The sequence below is a fragment of the Homo sapiens genome, chromosome 9 (assembly GCF_000001405.40).
Source record: "Homo sapiens chromosome 9, GRCh38.p14 Primary Assembly".
NCBI classification, from domain to species: Eukaryota; Metazoa; Chordata; class Mammalia; order Primates; family Hominidae; genus Homo; species Homo sapiens.
In genome coordinates, this window is record NC_000009.12 from 117,758,798 (window position 1) to 117,777,424 (window position 18,627).

Here is an 18,627-nt window from a genome sequence, read left to right on the forward strand (position 1 = left end):
AGAGATAAGACTAGAGCCGATGTCCTGACTCAAGGTTCAATTGTTTCCCTCAGCACTTGGCCCTTTGCTTTCAGTATTAGCAGTCGTCCTTTTTATTTTATTTTATATTAACTTCAGGGATACACGTGCAGGATGCGCAGGTTTGTTACATAGGTAAACGTGTGCCATGGTGGTTTGCTGCACCTGTCAATCCATCATCTAGATATTAAGCCTAGCATGCATTAGCTATTTTTCCTCATGCTCTCCCTCCCCCTGCCCCCCACCCACCCAACAACAGGCCCCAGTGTGTGTTGTTCCCTGCCCTGTGTCCATGTGTTCAGCTCCCACTTAAAAGTGAGAACATGCGGTGTTTGGTTTTCTGTTTCTGTGTTAGTTTGCTGAGTATAATGGCTCCATCCTTGTCCCTGCAAAGGACATGTCCTTGTTCCTTTTTAAGCAGTCATCCTTATTAAGTGTTATCTTTTTGTCCTCTGAGATTTCTAGAGCTATTAGTCTGTCTAAATTGAGGCCAATTAAAGAATTGCAAAAGTGTTTCTAGAGTCTTTGTTGGTGGCCAGGGCAGTTAGTCTGGGACACGAGGGAGGCAGGAGCCATCTAGGGCAGAGGGATTGTCTGCACTAGGACAGCTCTGTTAAAAAGGAGGACTTTTTTGTTTATGGGAAGATTTCCATAAAGATGATCTTCTGAGTGAAGGCTGGGCTTTAAGACGAAATGAGAGACAGTGTTGGTGGAAGAAGAGAACTTAAGGCCAGAAGTTGTGTGTGTGTGTGTGTGTGTGTGTGTATAATTATGCCTGAATATGTTTTATTTATTATAGTCTATGTGTGATTTTGTATTTGAAAGTAGATGCTTGATTCTACCACAATTAAAAAAAGGATATGCTTGGATTTGTCTGTAGTATGTGGGTGTGGAGGAGTTCATTTGAACACGGGCATTTTTGTGTGTCCAGGACGTATCAACAGCCTCCTTAGAGGTGTCATATGTGCAGGGAATACTGAAGAGAGTGCATTAGTCTACATGTCTCTCTATATATTTTTTCTTTTTGTGTGTGTCTGGTTTTCCTAGATTTCTCTCTTGCATGTTTGTGGGTATGAGAGTCTGTTAGTATTAATATGTGAATGGGTGTGTGCTATTTGTCTGGGGAGGATGATTTAGGCAAGGATTTGAAAGTGTGCATTTAGAAATTGAGGGCATCTCTGTGTTATTATGAGTGTATGTGTGTTTGTGTGTGCATTTTAGAGTGGTTGGTTATCTGTGTGTATTTGCAAGGAGAAGGGGAATTCAGTGTGTTTCTGTGTTTGTGTGTTTGTTTGTGAATGGTATGTTTTGCAGAGGAGTGTACTTTTTATGTTCGAAAGTTAGGCAATCATGTAATTTATCATCCAAATGGGGATACATTTGAGAATGAAATATATATGTGTGTGAAAGGATGTCTTTGAATGTACTTTTAAAAATGCATTTAATTTTGTGTGTGTTATTGGTGTCAGGAATTAAGAAAAAGAAGAGAAGTACAGGAGATATCATTAAATTATATAGTTCTCTCTTCGACTGTAGCCTTATAACAGGGACATTAATAGAATTAACAGGTAAGAACAGGTCAGCCCCAAAGATGTGTGCGTGTGTGTGTGTGTGTGTGTGTGTGTGTTACCAGATCAATGAACTGAGAAAAGAGGTCATACATATCTTGTGGCGACAAAAACCCATATGGTTAAAAAAAAATCAGCACAGTAAGTAAGGGAAGAAATGTGAACTACATTGTGCTAGAAAGTGTCTTTTATGTACAACATCTGCTTTGCTATGTCCTCTTTATGCTTCCTGCCTTGTTCCCCATGAGTAACTCTGGCTTGTGATGGCCAAGATAGCTGAGACCTTTCATTCTCTTACCTCCAAAGTTTGGAAAAATAACTCAGTGTGACCTCCATCAGGTAAGAGAAAGAAAGAGGCTAGGGAGAGTTGGCTGCTTCATTTCAGGTGAGTCAGAAAAGAAATCCCAGGGATGCTCCTAGTAGTCTCACTCTTTTTCAGAGTGTAGCTTCTGACTCCCTGGTTTATACATGCACCCCCTGGGGTTGGGAAATTCACTTGCTTAGTTCTCACTGGCTTTGTGGGATGTAGTGAAGAGACTAGAATGTTACTGCTTCTACTCTACCATGTCGGTGTAGCAGTTTCTCAGTGGCTTCATCCCCCAGTCATCCCTTTTTTATGTGCACTCTATATGCTCATCGCAGTGGAATGACTGCAGTCACTTCTGAATGTCATAATAGTGCTAGTAGCACTGCTAGTAGTACCAGTTGTGTGGTGTATTGGAGATGGCCACAAATTCATTGTCAACCTCTCATTGAAAGGTGGAATCTAATTGTCTCCCTTGGAATCTGGGATGGCTGTCCTACTTATTTGACCAACAGAATTTGTCAGAAGGGACTTTCTGTAACTTCTGAAGCTGTCTCATAAGAAGCCTTGCAGATTCTGCTCATGTCTCTTTCCTCTCTGGGAAACAAGTCGCGACTCAGGGATAAGCCTGAGACACATGGAGAGAACATCCTGATCAATCTGGTCTTTGCTGCTACCCTGGTCAACAGCCTGAGCTGGATACCTGGCTGACAAGTACCACCTTTTTCCTACACAGATGACAACCCAGCCCATGAGCACCAGGTGAGTGAGTGAAGAAGTCATCCAGGAAGTGGGTGCTCCAGTTCATGCTGCATAGGTTGGAGACAACTCTTCTAGCTGAGGTCTTGTGATGCACAAAACAATGGTTATTTGATAATATTATGCTTTGGAGTAGTTTCTTTCATAACAGTAGATAATTGGAATAGCATTACTAGAAATAGCTAACATGTATTGAGCCATTGCTGCTTGTCAGAGTATTTTCTTAGGAAGATACACACACACACACACACACACACACACACACACACACACACACACACAGAGTTATATAATACATAATACACATGTATTTAATTGTATCTGCATATTAATCTAAGGGCTTTGGAGCTTTTATTATTCTCATTTTATATAAGAAAAATCTGAGGTTAGGCAACTCTTCCAGATCACACAGCTAGCAATTGGTAGAAATGTATTCAGACTAGGACTTTATTTGTAACCGCATCTCTCCCTCATAGCTCTGTGCTTTTGTCATGATGATGTCGATATTTAGAAATACACTTTTTGTTTTCTTGGAATAACCTTCCCACTCACCCCACTCTACTCCAACTGACAAATTCTTTCTAATCCTTCATGGCTTAGCTCTATAGTTATGTTTTCCTACCCAAATCCATGTAGATGTCCCTCAGCCAGTACTGCACTGTCTTCTGCCTAGCTGCATGAAAACAAGCAAGTTATTCCACCTCCCTGAGGCTCAGTTTTCTCATCTGTAAAATCAGTTAAAATGACTTCCTTATAGGTTTGTTGTGAAGATTAAATGGGCTGGCAGATGCTAAAATGTGTCATGTATGGAGGACCACGATGCACACACTAACCATCATCAAAGCTGAACTGCAGGCTGGAAGGATGAGTTCCATAGTCAATTACCTTTTGCTCTATATGTCTCTGGGTGTGCTGAGTTGCCTAAGGCACCACTTGCGCCTTCAAAGAGCACATAGTTCAGTGGGACAGAAGACAAGTAAAAGAACCAATATATTAATGAGATTCATGGCAGGATAGAGGGGAACATAGACTCTTTTAGTATCAAAAAGGGGCTCGTAATACCTTTGAGGAGGGCATTTCATGAAAGATTACCTGGAGGTGAAATAAGCCCTGCAGAATGAGAAGGTATTAGTGAGGCAAAGAAAAAGGAAAACCAGGCATTCCAGGTAAGAACAAGCTTAAGCAAAGCTATAAAGGAACCCAGGAGTAGGGTGTACGAGGGAACCTCCAAATAGTTTGATACCTACTTGCATAACAGATTTTGGGTGAAGGTGGTCTGGAGTAAAGAAGCAGGAGAGGCCTTTAGAGAGAACTTTGAATTCTAAGCTGAAGCCTTTCTCCCAAGGTCGTGAGATGCTATTAAAGGATTGAGAGCAGTGAGTGTAGATGAATAATTCTGCATTTTAGAACCATTACTTTGGAGCCTGTTTTGGAAGGGCAGGACTGGAGGCAGAGATATGGATGGAGGATTGTTCAATATTCTAAAAGAAGGGTGATGGTAGTGTGATCCAGGAGCATGCGAGTGGGCCTTTGGAGAGATGCCAAAGCAAAAGAAAGAAGGAAACTTAGTGGCTGGCTAAGAGGGATAAAGGTGGGGAAGAAATCTGAATGAACACCTTGGTTTCTGACTTGGGTGACAGTTCATGGTGGCACCCCACATTCAAATAGAATTAAAAGAGTGCAGAAGGAGGGACAGTCTCTTCTCCCTCTGGAGATGGGATTTCTGCAGGGAGGACACTGGGTCCTGTGACACTAGCTGTGCAGGTCACAGGCCTGCAGGAGCATTGAGCCAAGCAGGTCATTACAGGCATATCCACATCTGTTATAAAAACTGAACTCTAATCGTGCCAGACCCACTCTGGCATAATAAGTGTGGTTTTTAACATAATGCACTGCTGGAGCGAAGTTGTCAGAAAAGCAGGAGGCGGAGGAGGTAATCTGTGAGACTTCAAAAAAGAAGATTGAAGCCATTTTATGTGGCTGGAAATGAGTCATTTGTCAGCAATGCCAATGTGCTGTCAGCTTTGGAGGAGAGATGACGGGGCACCCTGGGGGGAGGGCTGGTGAAAGTGTCAACCTTCAGTCACCAGAGGCCATGTGTGGGGTAAAAAGTGTCAGTCACATCACATCCCTGTCCTGACCTGGGTTAGAGGAAAACCAGGGTCACAGCAGAGCATTAGCCTTGTAACCAAGGAACCTTGTAACCCTCCTCTCTCAGGAAGGAACTGATGTGCTCAGCGTTCTCAAAGACTGTTCAGAGCTTTAATTCCTCGGGGCATGTGCACTTTAAAAGAAGAGTGGGAGTGCAACACTTAGGAAGAAGAAACTAAGGGGTAAGAGTGGATTGGTGGCAGAAAGGAGGAGAGATTTCGAGCAAGGACTTGCCTAAGGTCACTTACATAGGTGAATACCCCTTCTCTCTACCTAGTTGCCAAGTCCAGGGTTATCTCTGGGTCCTAATAGCTTGGAAGCCATTCCTGGGAGTGACAACCCATTCTAAATGGAGTGATCCCTGCTTTGTATGTTATTGCATTACCTGACACTCCCCTACCCCCATCATGCCAGTATCGATCACTTGGATACTTACTTGGGGTACAGCAGCAGATCATCCTAACTGGTTCAGCCTTCATTGCTCTGCTCTCATCCATTTTTTTTTTTTTTTGAGGCCATAGTGACCATCTTAACTTGAATTGAGTCTTCGCCTTTCCCTGTTCTTTGTGTCCTCCCAAGCTACCTGGCTTTGGTCTCTAACAACCTATACCATTTCAATCTCAAACAAGAATAACTTTTCCTTTGTTCTCTTCACTCTACTCATGCTTGCCCTTTTTAGTTCCCTGAACACAGTGACGTTTTGTCTTTCTCTAGAACTTTGCTAAGGCTGGTCTCTCTTCTCAGGTAATGTCTATTCATCCTTCAGCTTCAATATCACTTCTTCAGAGAGGTACCTCCTGACTCTGACTAAGTTGCACCCCTGACCAATACAACACATAGAGACTGTCTTATAATACTTTCTTTGCTTTTGTAATTTTTATGATTATTTTATGTTATTGTTTATATTCTGACATCCCATTTCGATTCTGAACTCCTTAACAGCAAAGATAATGCTTGTCTTTTTTGCAACTGAATCTTTATGCCTATATGAATGCCTAATGTCAATGTTTCCCAGATATTTGTAGGATGAATAAATGAGGCCAGGTGCAGTGGCTCATGCCTATAATCCCAGAATTTTGGGAGGCCGAGGTGGGCTGATCACCTGAGGTCAGGAGTTCGAGACCAGCCTGGCCAACATGGTGAAACCCTGTCTCTAGTAAAAATACAAAAAGTAGGCAGGTGTGGTGGCATAAGCCTGTAGTCCCAGCTACTCGGGAGGCTAAGGCAGGAGAATCACTTGAACTCAGGAGGCGGAGTTTGCAGTGAGCCGAGATCGCGCCACTGCACTCCAGCCCGGGTGACAGAAAGAGACCCACCTCAAAGAAAAAAAAAAAATGAATGAACAAATGAATGAGTAAATGAATGAATAGACAACTCTTTAGTAATTCTGGTGAGCAGGAAAGTTTGGAACTCCACGCACCAGGCAACATCACAGATATACCAAATGACTTGCATAGGCAAAGAGACACGCAGGAATCAAGGAGGTTTATCAATAACTTTCCTGCCATTTTAAGCTATTTCCCTCTCACACTTTCTGTGGCAGGATAGCTTTGGGGAACAGAAGTTATAGAACCCCTTCCATTAGACCAGTGGTTCTAAAAATCTCCTAAAGACATAGATTAGAGGGTCCCACCCCGGTGCTTCTGATTCAGTAGGTCTGGGGTGGATTTCAAGAATTCACATTTCTGAAAAGTTCCCAGGTGGTACTGATGATGCTGGGTGGGGGGGTCACACACCTTTAGAGATAGTGCACTGCACATAATCTCTAGAGGCAAGGACTCTGCTTTTCACATTTGCTATTGCTATACGCAGATGCTATTGCTTAAACATACATACTGCTATGTTGTATATGCTCAAAAATTTTGTTGAATATGTGAAAGAAACTCAGTGGGCCCCTTTGCCCATCATGTAGTTCTGTTCCCAGAGCTAATTCCTCTTATCCATTCCTATTCCACGTTAGACGATCAACGCCATCACAAGCTCCCCTTACCAACCACTTGACCTTCTCTAGGTAGCTTTTATGTTCCACCCATCCTCCCCAAGAAACATCATCTATCCTTGTATTTTCTGTTCCTAAGGACTTGATGATATTTAGCAAACCACTTCAAGTTATGATGTTAACCAGTAATGGCAGATCAACATGTCACCTCTTTAAAGAGAAATTTTATTCTAACATTCGATTGAACATTGATCCATAATTGTGGTCAACTTGTACAGTATAGCTTGCTGGCTAAACTAAGCTTTTACAGATCTTAGTAAAAGAGTTTTATTTAGTAAACTATATAGCATTAAAAATAATTGTGAGGGCCAGACGTGATGGCTCACATCTGTAATCCCAGCACTTTGGGAGGCCGAGGTGAGAGGATCACCTGGGGACAGGAGTTCGAGACCAGCCAGGCCAACATGGTAAAACCCAGACTCTATTTAAAAAAAAAAATACAAAAATTAGCCAGGCATGGTGGCACGAGCCTGTAGTGTCAGCTACTTGGGAAGCTGAGGCAGGAGAATCTCTTGAACTCAGGAGACAAAGGCTACAGTGAGCCGGGATGTCACCACTGCACTCCAGCCTGGGTGATGAAGTGAGACTCCATCTCAAAAACAAACAAAATGACTGTGGGGCAAGCTATGATAAACAGCTTAATAGCAAAAATTACTTGTCTGTACTTTAGAAATATCCACATGCATAGTATAAATTGGTGTGTTAACTATAATTGTTTCTTATCTATGCTATGAGGATATTTATTGAGCAAATATTTTGGTACAGTAGGTAGAATTGCCACATACAGCTCAAAAAATAGATGCATGCATACATACTTATATAAGTACATACATACATATGTATCTAAGTATAGATATGGGTAAAGATGTATGTGTATATGTTTTTGTCTTCATGAAACCCAAAAGGTTTTCCCTTTTTACCTAATCTCATTGAGTCCACATGCATTAAGTTTTATTCTAAGAAATAGGGTCTAGTATAATAAGCGTTATCTGTTTTCACACATACTAGATCGTGCCACTCCCCTCACACTCATTAAATGAGCATTTAGTAAAATTTCTGAAAAATTACTTCTGCTAGATCAAGCTGTAAACTATTAGAGACTAGAAGTGATTTATTTATTTATGTATTTTTATTGGTGGCAAGGCATCACAATCCCTGAGCAATTTACCAGGTTGATTTAATTTAGAGTCACTTCCATGCTTTCCTGGAGATCTACCCTAAATCTCTAGCTGAACAATGTTAGAAATTGATGAAATGTTCAACCCTGTGTCACACATACACACGAAGTTCAATTTCAGTACTGATACTCTCATCTGCAGGCTTGGTACTGCTTAGAGAAAATCAAATATTTTCTTTCCTCTAGAGTCAGATAGGTGCTTGTGACAGTAAGAAATAAGGATGAGAACTAATGCACTGAGCACATGCTATATGCCAGGTGCCCTTTGTAGGTTGTCATGATCCTACGCCAACCCTGGGAAATAGACATCATTTTTTCTTCCAGGAAAATTAAACAAAAAGCCGAAAGAAAAAAGAAAAGAAGAAGTCTGGGAGTGAAGTTATATGCTTAAAGGCATGCATCTAGCAAATGGCAAAAAAAATGGATGAAGACACAAGACTGATTGTCACTAAAAACCATGTGGTATGTTTGAGCAAGGTCAGTGCCACGGTAGAACCACTTGTGACCACATGCCAGCTATGGGTATAACTAAAAAACATGAGTAGTCAGAAATCATTTTCCAATTATGTCCCTCCGTTTGTTTCACTCCAGGGAGTTGTATGTGATCTTTTTCTCTACTGAATTTCAAGACAAGGATTTTGTACCACTTTTCTGAAACTTCTCTGAGATGTCTTTCATCTCACGTCTTTTTGTTTTATTTAATTTTGAGAATCAAACTAAGTCCCTCTCATTTATGAATCCTTCTCTGAATCCACCACTGAAAGTAACTTTCTTCATTTACTTATTATAGAATCCTGTGTTTTTTATCAATCATTTGACAATTTGCAACTTGCCTTAAACCTATGTATTAGGGTATTAAATATTTTCTATTTAAATATTTATTAGGATACTAAATTAGTTTAACTCAAGGGATATTAGGGTTGATGATAGAGATGTGTGAGGCTGAAATTTTGAATCAAATCAATGGCATTAGGTTTGTTCAACCTCTAATTTCCTTCCCAAGATGGAGAGAAATATATATATAGAGAAAATAGGATTTCCCTGGTATTTCCAAACCGTTACCTTTGAAGCTCAAGTTCCTCCCTGTAAAATGGGAATAAAAATTATTATCATGCCTTGCTTGTGAGGCTAATGTGAAGGTCAGATGAAATAATATAAGGGAGAGTGCTTAAAAAACACAAAGAGTTGTTATCATTAGTATTATATTAGTAGGTCAACAACAAAAACAGGAACCAAAAAACAAAATCCATGAATCCATGAATGACTTGAAAAAAAAAACCAAACTTCTCTTTAAGTTAAAATTCTTAGAAGACTGCCCACAATAATCATATATATTTTTCTTTTTTTTTTTTTTTTTTTGAGATGGAGTCTCACTCTGTCACCCAGGCTGGAGTGCAATGGCACGATATTGGCTCACCACAACCTCCGCCTCTCGAGTTTAAGCGATTCTCCTGCCTCAGCCTCCCAAGTAGCTGGGACTACAGGTGCCCGCCACCACGCCCGGCTAATTTTTTGTATTTTTAGTAGAGACAGGGTTTCACCATGTTGGCCAGGCTGGTCTCGAACTCTCGAGCTCAGGCAATCCACCCATCTCGGCCTCCCAAAGTGCTGGGATTACAGGTGTGAGCCACCACACCCGGCCATATATATTTTTCTTGTGGTGACCTCATGCTAGCTTATTTTGCTTATTCCCAAATTCTTGGTAAAATTCAATTTCTTTGTACACTTTACTATTATAGAATTAGTAAAGATTTTAAACAAGTGTCAGCCTATTTTTAATAGGTTTCCTAGGCAGTAAAGATTAAAAACAGAATAACCAATGGGGATGGGGAAAAGACGGTTTAAACTATCCAAGAAATAACATCATTATTCAAGAGTTTATAAAATCTGTTTGGCAGTTTCCAATTGCTTGCCAAGAATACACAAATCATTCTTATTTATTTAACTCTTTACGTCTCAGTAAATTTGCATGTACTAATGGCATTTCAAAATGAACGTAGTCTAAACCCTTCTTTTCCCAATGTAGGGAATTTGAAAACATCTGTAGCATTAGGAATTTTGACTAGATCAGAAACAGAAAGAATATGGCAAGTTGGTCTAACACTGTCCAACTCCGTGGCCATGGCAGGCATCACTAATGGATTATAGTACTTTTCCACTGAACTAGGAAGTAGCCTCAGAATCACTCTCTCCTCACTGCTCCCAGCAGCTGCTATCAATCAATTGCAGCTTTGCCACTGTAGGAGCTCTTAAATTTCATTGTTTAGCTCTGACATTTTCAGAGGATATAAATGCAATGAATTTGCCTAACTCCTGAAATTCATTTTCTTAAAAAAACGATCTGTTCCTATTCTCTGGAAGGTGGTGACAAATTTCAGCATTTAAGTTGGTATTTCTCATTCAGTTGTCTGTCTTCTCCATTTCCCAATCTGTGAATGGTACTGGTGTTTCTCAGTAGGAGATGCCAAGTAAATGAAGCTGCCCAGCAGGAAACCCTGTTTGGCAATTCTAACAAGGCTTGAAGAATTGGTTTCCTCATTAGAAACAACAAAAGTTTTCTATCTGATGAATTCGCAAGTTCCTGATCTGGTGCTCTCCTGAACAAAATATTGATGTGTAAGAAATACAAATGAAAAGTAAATCCTTAGTAATGATGGTATTAAGCATTCACCTAGATTATAGGAGATAAAAATTCCATTTCCTTGCAATGTATTGTCTCTATTGATAGACTTTAACTCTGGGAGTGGAAGGATTTTTATCTCCTGAGTGGGGATTACCACATGATGAAATCCTACCATGTGTCTATGTCCTTCATGCGTACTATCTCACTGAAATCACAATAATAATTGTTAACATATATTAAAGCTCACTCTGTGTCTGGAACTGTTCTAAGTACTTTACTTGAATTAACTCATTTAATCCCCACAAGAGCACTATGGAATAGGTAATAATAACATTTTCTAACAAATAAGGAAATAGAGGCAAAGAGAATTTAAGTAATTTGCCTGAAGGCCATACATTAGTAAGTGGGGCAGCTTGCATTTGAATCTGTGTAGTCTGGCTCCAGGATCTGAACTTAGAACCACAGTATTATACTATCTTATGATGTTCCCAAGGGTTGAGTGTTACATTTATTTTTCCAATGAGTAAAGCAAACTTCAAAACCTAGGTTGCTGGCCCCATTGCCTTTCAGCCAGAAAGTGACAAGAATTAGATAGCAGGGTAGAGCCAGCACTTCTCATCTATCATCTTATTTGATTCTGGCTACCACCCCATGATGTAGATGGTAGTATTTCCCCCCTTTAACAGATGGTGAAACAGGTTCTACTTCGATTGTAACTTCTCAACATAATACAGCTTGTGAATGTAGAGCCAGGCTTTGAATGAGGGAGCCCAACTGGAGGATGTCCATGTGATACCAGTTATCAAGGAGCTGACAATCAGATCTGAAAGAAGGAACAGTGCAAATATGAAAAAAATCTTCCAAGTCTGGTGGACCAGAGACATCGTGAGGCAGCTCTGAAAGAGGACAAAGGGCTCAGAGAAAAATTAGAGTGATACAGTCAGTTTCAGCGATGAGGAGGATCATTAATTGACTCTTTAAGAATAAGTACAGGGTAGGTTATGGAGTCTTAAAGAAAAGTAACTGCCAATATCTGTGGGGGTAGGGGTGGGGACACTGTGTGTTTGTATGCTGATAGTAAGGAGATCAGCATCTAGTATTCAATTTCCCAAGAGGCACTAATATTTGATTGACATATAAAATAGAAGATTGTTGAAGATCTATGGTTAATATCTGTTTAATATCTGCTTCATCAAATTCAATGAAAATGTTTCTGAGCTTTACTTCAGAGCCCAGACAGAAAGATTCTGGAATTTAGTTTTTCCTTATTTATTCTCAGTCTTATTCTATTCCCATTTTCCTCTTTTCTTTCCCCTCTTTTTTCCCCCTTTCTTCCCTCCTGTTCTCTCTTCTTCTCCTCCTCTTCCTCTTCCTGTTTCCCCTTCTTCCTCCTCCTCTCTTCCTTTTCCTCTCTCCTCCCCTCCTGCTTTCCCTCTCTGCCTCACTTCCACCTCACAGTATTCTTGGGACTTCTTTTCAGCCCATAACGGAATTCTGTTCTTTAAGTAGGGCTTTAAAAAATTGTGACCCTTAGTTTATTTTAATTCCATTTCAGCCTTTGATATGTCGGCAGTAAATGGTTCTTATGTTCATTCCTTCCACACACAATCTCAGCCCCCATTGTGCCATTAGATTTGTGCATCTCCTCTGCTATTCTGCCTTATATGTGTGTATGCGTATATATATGCATATAAAATATAAAATGTCTACATATATAGGTTACACACACACATTCACTGCTAGCTCATAGTTTTGAGGTTTGAGGGTTGCTGGGTTTTCTTTCCCAATCATAAACAATGTTTCCATTCTACAGCCCTTCTCTAGGGAAGACCCATAAAATTTGACTCATGAAGAGAGAGAAAAAAATTCAGGAGGCGAAATTAATACGGGGAGAAAATGAAAGAGATTTAGTGCAGCTATCAACCGACCATTGTGCTGTCTTTAAGAGTCTGTTGAAACAACATAATAAGAGGTAATAAAGGCTGGATTTATAGCCTACCTGGCGGAAATGGCTGTCTGTTTGTATCTTGCCCAGTTGCAGACCACTGCAGGTCTGTCTTGGGAGCAGGATCTTTTTTCCTCAGAGATCTCTTTTTTTTTCCCTTGGACTCAAGGGACATTAGAAAGTATCCAAATCAGGTTGGCAGATAAGTTAAACATCTCTCTGGTTCTTTCTCTTCCCTTCTTTGCTCTGGGATTTAAGGACCCAGTATTGTTTCTTTTAAAAGCTGTATTTGATTTGGTTTGCCTAGGAAAGCCCTCAGTGATTACTAAAATAGGTAAAGAGAACTTTGAACTTTAAAAATGGTCCTGCCAGCTCCTATGGGATTAAGGGCTTATTCTTTCACCTTAAAGTTGAAATAAATATCCCAAAACTTCTAAATTAGTACAAATCAGTTTCTTGAAAGGAAGGTGAAACACACTGCCCAGGTAGTATGAGAAAATCAAGGATCAAGAAGACAAGAGGAATAGATGGTGTCTGCTCACAAAGGGGTCTGGACCATGTTGTAGGAGGCAGCTGGGACAGGGGTTAGTCTGCTGAACCTGTAGTGCTCCTTACCGCTTGATGAGTGATCAGAATTTTGAAGCAATTGGAGCTTATTAATTCATTAATTCCTTCATCAAACATTCAGCATCTACTTAATGTCACGCCTTGAGCTAGTGACAGGGCTACATAAGTGAATAAGAGGTGAGAATTGAACAATGAGGACACTTGGACACAGGGCGGGGAACATCACACATTGGGGCCTGTAGGAGGGTGGGGGGCTGGGGGAGGGATAGCATTAGGAGAAATACCTAATGTAGATGACAGGTTGATGGGTGCAGCAAACCAATATGGCGCATGCGTACCTACGTATCAAACCTGCACGTTGTGCACATGTACCCTAGAACTTAAAGTATAATAATAAAATAAAATTTAAAAAAAGACCAGGTCTCTATCCTGAAGAACCCAGCCTAGAGGAGGAGAAAGCCCCCTCATACACAAGTCAAGAAATGCAGTGATCAAGTCCATAATTTCAGTGTATGTGTACAGGGCTCAGGAGGCACAAAATAGGGGCAGAGGCCAAGCTAACACCAAGCATATTGGAAGGCTTCAGAGTACAGCTGGGCCTTGATATTGTGTCAAGTATTTGCTTGAATGGGTAAATGAATTAATAAATTAAAAGGTTAGGGAGAAAAGAGGAATCAGAAGATAGGAGTTCTAGATCTAATTACCACTCACTGTGAGATCTTGAGCAAGTCTCTTCCTCTCTTTAAGCCTTAGCTTCCCCCATCTATTTGCTGAGATTCTGGATTGTCTCTAGCTTCTCTTCCACCTCAAGCATTCTAGATTAGATTATGGAGGATAAAGGGATATTAGCATCATTTCAGATCTCGGGTCTTGGTAGCAGGTCCAAGCCTTCCTTCCTATCTCCCTAAAAAATACGCCCAATTTTGTTCATATTGTATGTTTTCTCATTGCTTGTTTCTAGGCTTGGTCTAGACATGTGGCTCTGGCGGCGGGGGCTCAGATACTTTGCAAGTTAGAAGTTACAGTGACCACTTCCTGTTCCCCACCCCAAAATGAGTTTGAGGCCAAGAGGAAAGCTAGGAAATTCTGGGGAAAAAATGGAAATGGAGCCACGGGGGAAGCAGGAAGGAGGATGCCAGCAGCAAAGTGCTGAATCCCAGAAGAGAGAGATCTCATTACTGGAGTATGAGTCATGGTAATAGGCTGAACAAATCCCCATAAAGTCAGGGCTAATGTTGTCTGCTGGAGCCCATATCATGTCATAAACACAGTGGTCCACCCCAACCAGGGCTGTGTTAATTGTCTGACTCAATCAGCGGGGCTGGGGAGCCTGAAATGAAGGATTAGTTCAGGGCAGTGAGTTCCAGCCTCCCCAGCGACCCTGGCTCTGCATCCTGGCAGGCTTGAGCTCCTTATAGAAAGACTGTCCAAGGCAAGGATGGCCAGAGAGAGGGGCAAATAGTACCACAGAGAGGTCCACAGTCTGGATTTGGGGGCCAGTCAGTGATCCCTGAACCCCCAAGTAACTGGGGGAATCCTGGGGTCCTTCTGCCAGGGACCTCTCCATTTCTTTCTTTCTCTCGATTGTCTTCTCCCTCCTTAGTCTTCCCCAGCTTTCCTGTTTTCTATTTCTTCTTTTCCCTCTCTCTCTTTCTTTCTTCCTTTCTTTCTTTCTTTCTTTCTTTCTTTCTTCTTTCTTTCTTTCTTTCTCTTTCTTCCTTTTCTTTTTCTTTTCTCTTTCTTTCTTCTTTCTTTTCTTTCTTTCTCTTCCTCTCTTCCTTTCTTTCCCTCCCTCCCTCCCTCTATCCCTCTCTCCCTCCCTTCCTTTTCTTCCTTTCCTTTCCTTCTTTCCTTCCTTCCTTCCTTTCTTCCTTCCTTCCTCCTTCCCTTCCTTCCTTCTTTTCTTTCTCTCTTTCTTTCTTTCTCTCTCTTTCTTCTTTCTCTTTCTTTCTTTCTTTCTCTTTTTCTCCTTGTTTCCTTTCTCTCTTTCTTTCTTTCTCTCTTTCTCTTTCTTTCTTTCTCTCTTTCTTCCTCTCTTCCTTTCTTTCCCTCCCTCCATCCCTCTCTCCTTTCCCTTTCCTTTCCTTTCCTTCCTTTTTTTTCCATTCCTTCCTTCCTCCCTCCCTTCTCCCCTCCCTTCTCCCCTCTCTTTCTTCCTTTCTAGCAGCATTGTTTTCTCTCTCTTCTTATCTTTTTCTCTTCCTTCCTCACACTCCTCAAACTTCCCCTCCCCTCCTTTCCCTTCTTCTCTCCCTATTTTCTTTATCTCCTTCCTTCTGGCCACTCATCCTCTTTCTACTTATTTCTCTTCTAATCTCATTTTCTTCTTCTTCCTTTTTAGAGACAGGGTCTCTCTCTTCATCACCCAGGCTGGAGTGCAGTGGCATAAGAATAGCTCACTGTAACTTCAAACTCCTGGACTCAAGCCATCCTCCCACTTTAGCCTCCCAAGTAGGTAGGACCACAAGCACACATCACCACACCTGGTTAATTAAAGAAAAACTTTGGTAGTGATAGGGTCTTCCTGTGTTGTCCAGGCTGGTCTTGAAGTCCTGGCCTCAGATAATTCTCCTGCCTTGGCCTTGCAAACCTTGGCCACTACACTTGGCCTCTTTTCAAAGTACATGTCTCTGTTTCCTCTCGCCTGTCCTTCTCTTCCTCTTCTTCCTGTTTTTACTGTTTGTTCCTTTCTTTCTCTTTGCTTCTTTTCGTACATTTTCTTGTTCTTTTCCTCCCCTTATCCAAGCTTGGCAGCAAATAGCCTGAGGTTTGTCCAGTCAGAGGAGTGAGGCCCTTACTGCATCATCATCTGCAAAATACCTTCATGATTTGACCCTCATATTAGCTTTCTGATAAAAATATTTTTTCCCAAACAAGGAAATTAATACTCAGGAAAGCTAAGTGACAGGCCAAGCTCACACAACTACTAAGTAGAAGACCTGAGGTTGCATCTCAAATCTACCTGAAGTCGTTTCCCAAACAGAATTTGGAATTGTGGTATATGTGGCAAGAAAACCAACCTTGGCTCATTGACAATATTACAGGGTCAGATGTTCCCTTCCATTACAAAGAAAAATGTAGCAGTAAGCTTGTCAGTCCTTCTCTCCTGTCCCTAGGGCCTGACTTACTTAACAAATATTAAGTGACCAACATATGCAACCATGACCATGACATTTAGTGATGCTGAGGACACAGAACTAAGTGACTTTCTGTATGAAACTTGCATTCTCACAGGGGTGATAGTTAATAAGCAAGTAATGAAATAAATATAAAAATGTAATAGGTTATGGTGTAGGTGTCCATGGATGTGGAAATGTGTTATGTAGGTGATGAGACTGTTGATAGAGGACATTGAAAATTGTTGGGATTTTTGTCCTCATGTTTTTTTTTCTGTATTATTGCCATTTTCAAAAATATGTATACTGAAATCACAGCTTTTATATACACTAATAACAACTAGTTTAAAATATGCAATGGAAAAACCTATTCTTTGTAGAATAGTACCATGAAAAGTAGTTCCACTGGGTGCTCATAAAATCTTCATGAAGGCCTCTTCTACTATAATTTGGGCTTGAGCCTGCCTTTTGCCTGACTCCCTTTGTATGGGGTGCACCATTGCCAACAACATCTAAAATGTTCATTTCAAATGCTCCTTGAGCTAATTATGGTTACCCAGGGGCTTGAGGGCAATGGGTTCTAGCTGCCATCACACTCTGCCTCATTATGGAGGATTTCAGCCCACCCTTGTTCTCCCAAAGTGAGATTTCCTTCCTTCCTCTTCCATTCAGCCCAGTCCTCTCTGTCTGCCTGTGGCTGGGCTGTGCCACAAGCTCAGTTCCCTGTGTCATGGGTAATAGTCACCCAGGGAAACTTGCCATCTGGCAAAAATGCCACCTTTTAGTCACAAGAGCTTTCCTATGCCCAGTACTTCTGTTGACTGTTGGGAGAGGATAATTTTCTATGTTTCTTTATTGGAATAGAAAATAGCCTGAAGACAGTGAAGGAAGATCATGATGCTCCCTCTGTGACTTAGTCACACTTTACCCCATATGTAGAATGCTTCCACATGCAAATCTCTCCCCTCCTTCAAAGCCCACTCCAAATGGTACCTCCTCCATGGAGCCTTCTTGAGTAACATAATGCTCTACCCATCTTCTGAAGTTTCATAGAAAATCTCTTCGAGCCAAAGTGGCCTGGATACATAACCTGCTTCAACACACACCAGCTGTACAGCTTAAGCCTTCAGTGTTTGCTGCAGTGATATCACCTGTACCACAGCTTCTTCTGCAGTGTGACCTTTTCACTTCCCCATGATGAACTGGAGTCTAATTTCTAAGTTAATCCATGCTTGCCTTATAAGTACCTTAACCAAATAGACTGTAATGGAAGTGGGATTGCATGACTTCAGATACTGTTAGAAGAACCCAGCTGCCACCAGAAAGCTAAGGCACATAGAGAGGCCTCTACGTAGGTAGGTGGCTCTTACAGGCAGTCTCAGCTGAGCCCAGACATCAACTCACCTCAGGTTCCAGACCTGTACATAAAGAAATCTCTTTTTGATTTCAGCCTCTGGACATTTGAGACCTTCCCACTGCCCCAGGTATCTTTGAGCATAAACAAGCTACTTCTGTGATACCTTATTCTAATTCCTGGCCCACAGACTCCATGAACACGATCAAATGGTTTTATACCACTACGATTGGGTGGTCTTTTATGCAGCAATACAAAAAATCTAGAGCAGTGTTTCAGTTCTTAAATGAACAAAATGGTATGATACTGTCAACCCTAGTGTGTAGTTGAAAATTAAATGAAATAATATATGAAGCACCTGGCAGTGCTTGACATTTAGAAAGCATTTAATGAATATTTTTTTTCATTTCCTTCCAACTACAGTAGCTACCTGTCCACACATCTTACGTTTTACTAAAATTTTTGCTCTCCTGTGGCAGGAGTTGAATCATATTTAAGTTGTAAGCCCTGTGTTACCATTGTGTATATATTATATGCTCATAAAATATTTACTGAGTAAAAAGATGAATAAATAACTATAATGGGCACTGGATTGGGAGCCAGAAACTTTAGTTACTAGCTGTGCATTCTTGGTAAGTTTTTTTCTGTTTAATAATTATTTTTTCTTATGTTAAAATTGAAAAGGTTTAGGCTGAAAGGGGAGATATGGTGGCAGATTGAAGAAGACCTAGCAACTGTTTTTAAATTCTTAAAGAATTGTTATGGGGAAGAAGAATGGATTTCTCTGTTTGACTCTCAAGTAGTACAGTCAGGAACCTGTGTGGAATACACAGGCACAAGACAAATAATTATCTAGAGTCAGATTGTTCAAAGATGGAAGAAATGCTTTGTGAGCTAGTGAATGCCCTGCCCCTAGAGGTGTTTCTCTGGGAAACTTGAGTGTAACCCTCCTACTCTGCTGTAGAGGATATGCAAGCATTGGAGGAGGCAAATTCCATCCCCTATGTTCCTAATTCTACCACTGGACGCCTTCTTTCAGCTCCAAA

At 41.0% G+C, this 18,627-nt stretch overlaps 1 long non-coding RNA gene across 4 annotated transcripts in view, besides 1 other annotated feature; it reads left to right on the top strand.

The window, feature by feature from the left end:
• The first annotated feature begins 659 nt into the window (after window positions 1-659).
• Window positions 660-18,627, top strand: part of LOC105376244 (uncharacterized) — a 111,773-nt gene continuing 93,805 nt past the window's right edge. Inside the window, exons 1-4 of one of the 4 annotated variants that reach the window (XR_007061906.1) lie at window positions 660-1,586; window positions 2,346-2,652; window positions 8,301-8,453; window positions 12,413-12,571. This is a non-coding gene — a long non-coding RNA (uncharacterized LOC105376244). Of the gene's footprint in view, window positions 2,653-8,300; window positions 8,454-12,412; window positions 12,572-18,627 lie in introns of all 4 variants that reach the window. The other 3 variants (XR_007061905.1, XR_001746916.2, XR_007061907.1) reach the window with 3 other exon arrangements.
• Window positions 4,065-5,264: an enhancer, noted in NCBI's record as "P300/CBP strongly-dependent group 1 enhancer chr9:120525140-120526339 (GRCh37/hg19 assembly coordinates)". NCBI's record gives its function as "activates an origin of replication core promoter dependent on BRD2, BRD4, P300/CBP, MED14 and CDK7 cofactors, with strong dependence on P300/CBP, by STARR-seq in HCT116 cells {active_cell/tissue: HCT116}" and the evidence as "EXISTENCE:reporter gene assay evidence [ECO:0000049][PMID:35650434]".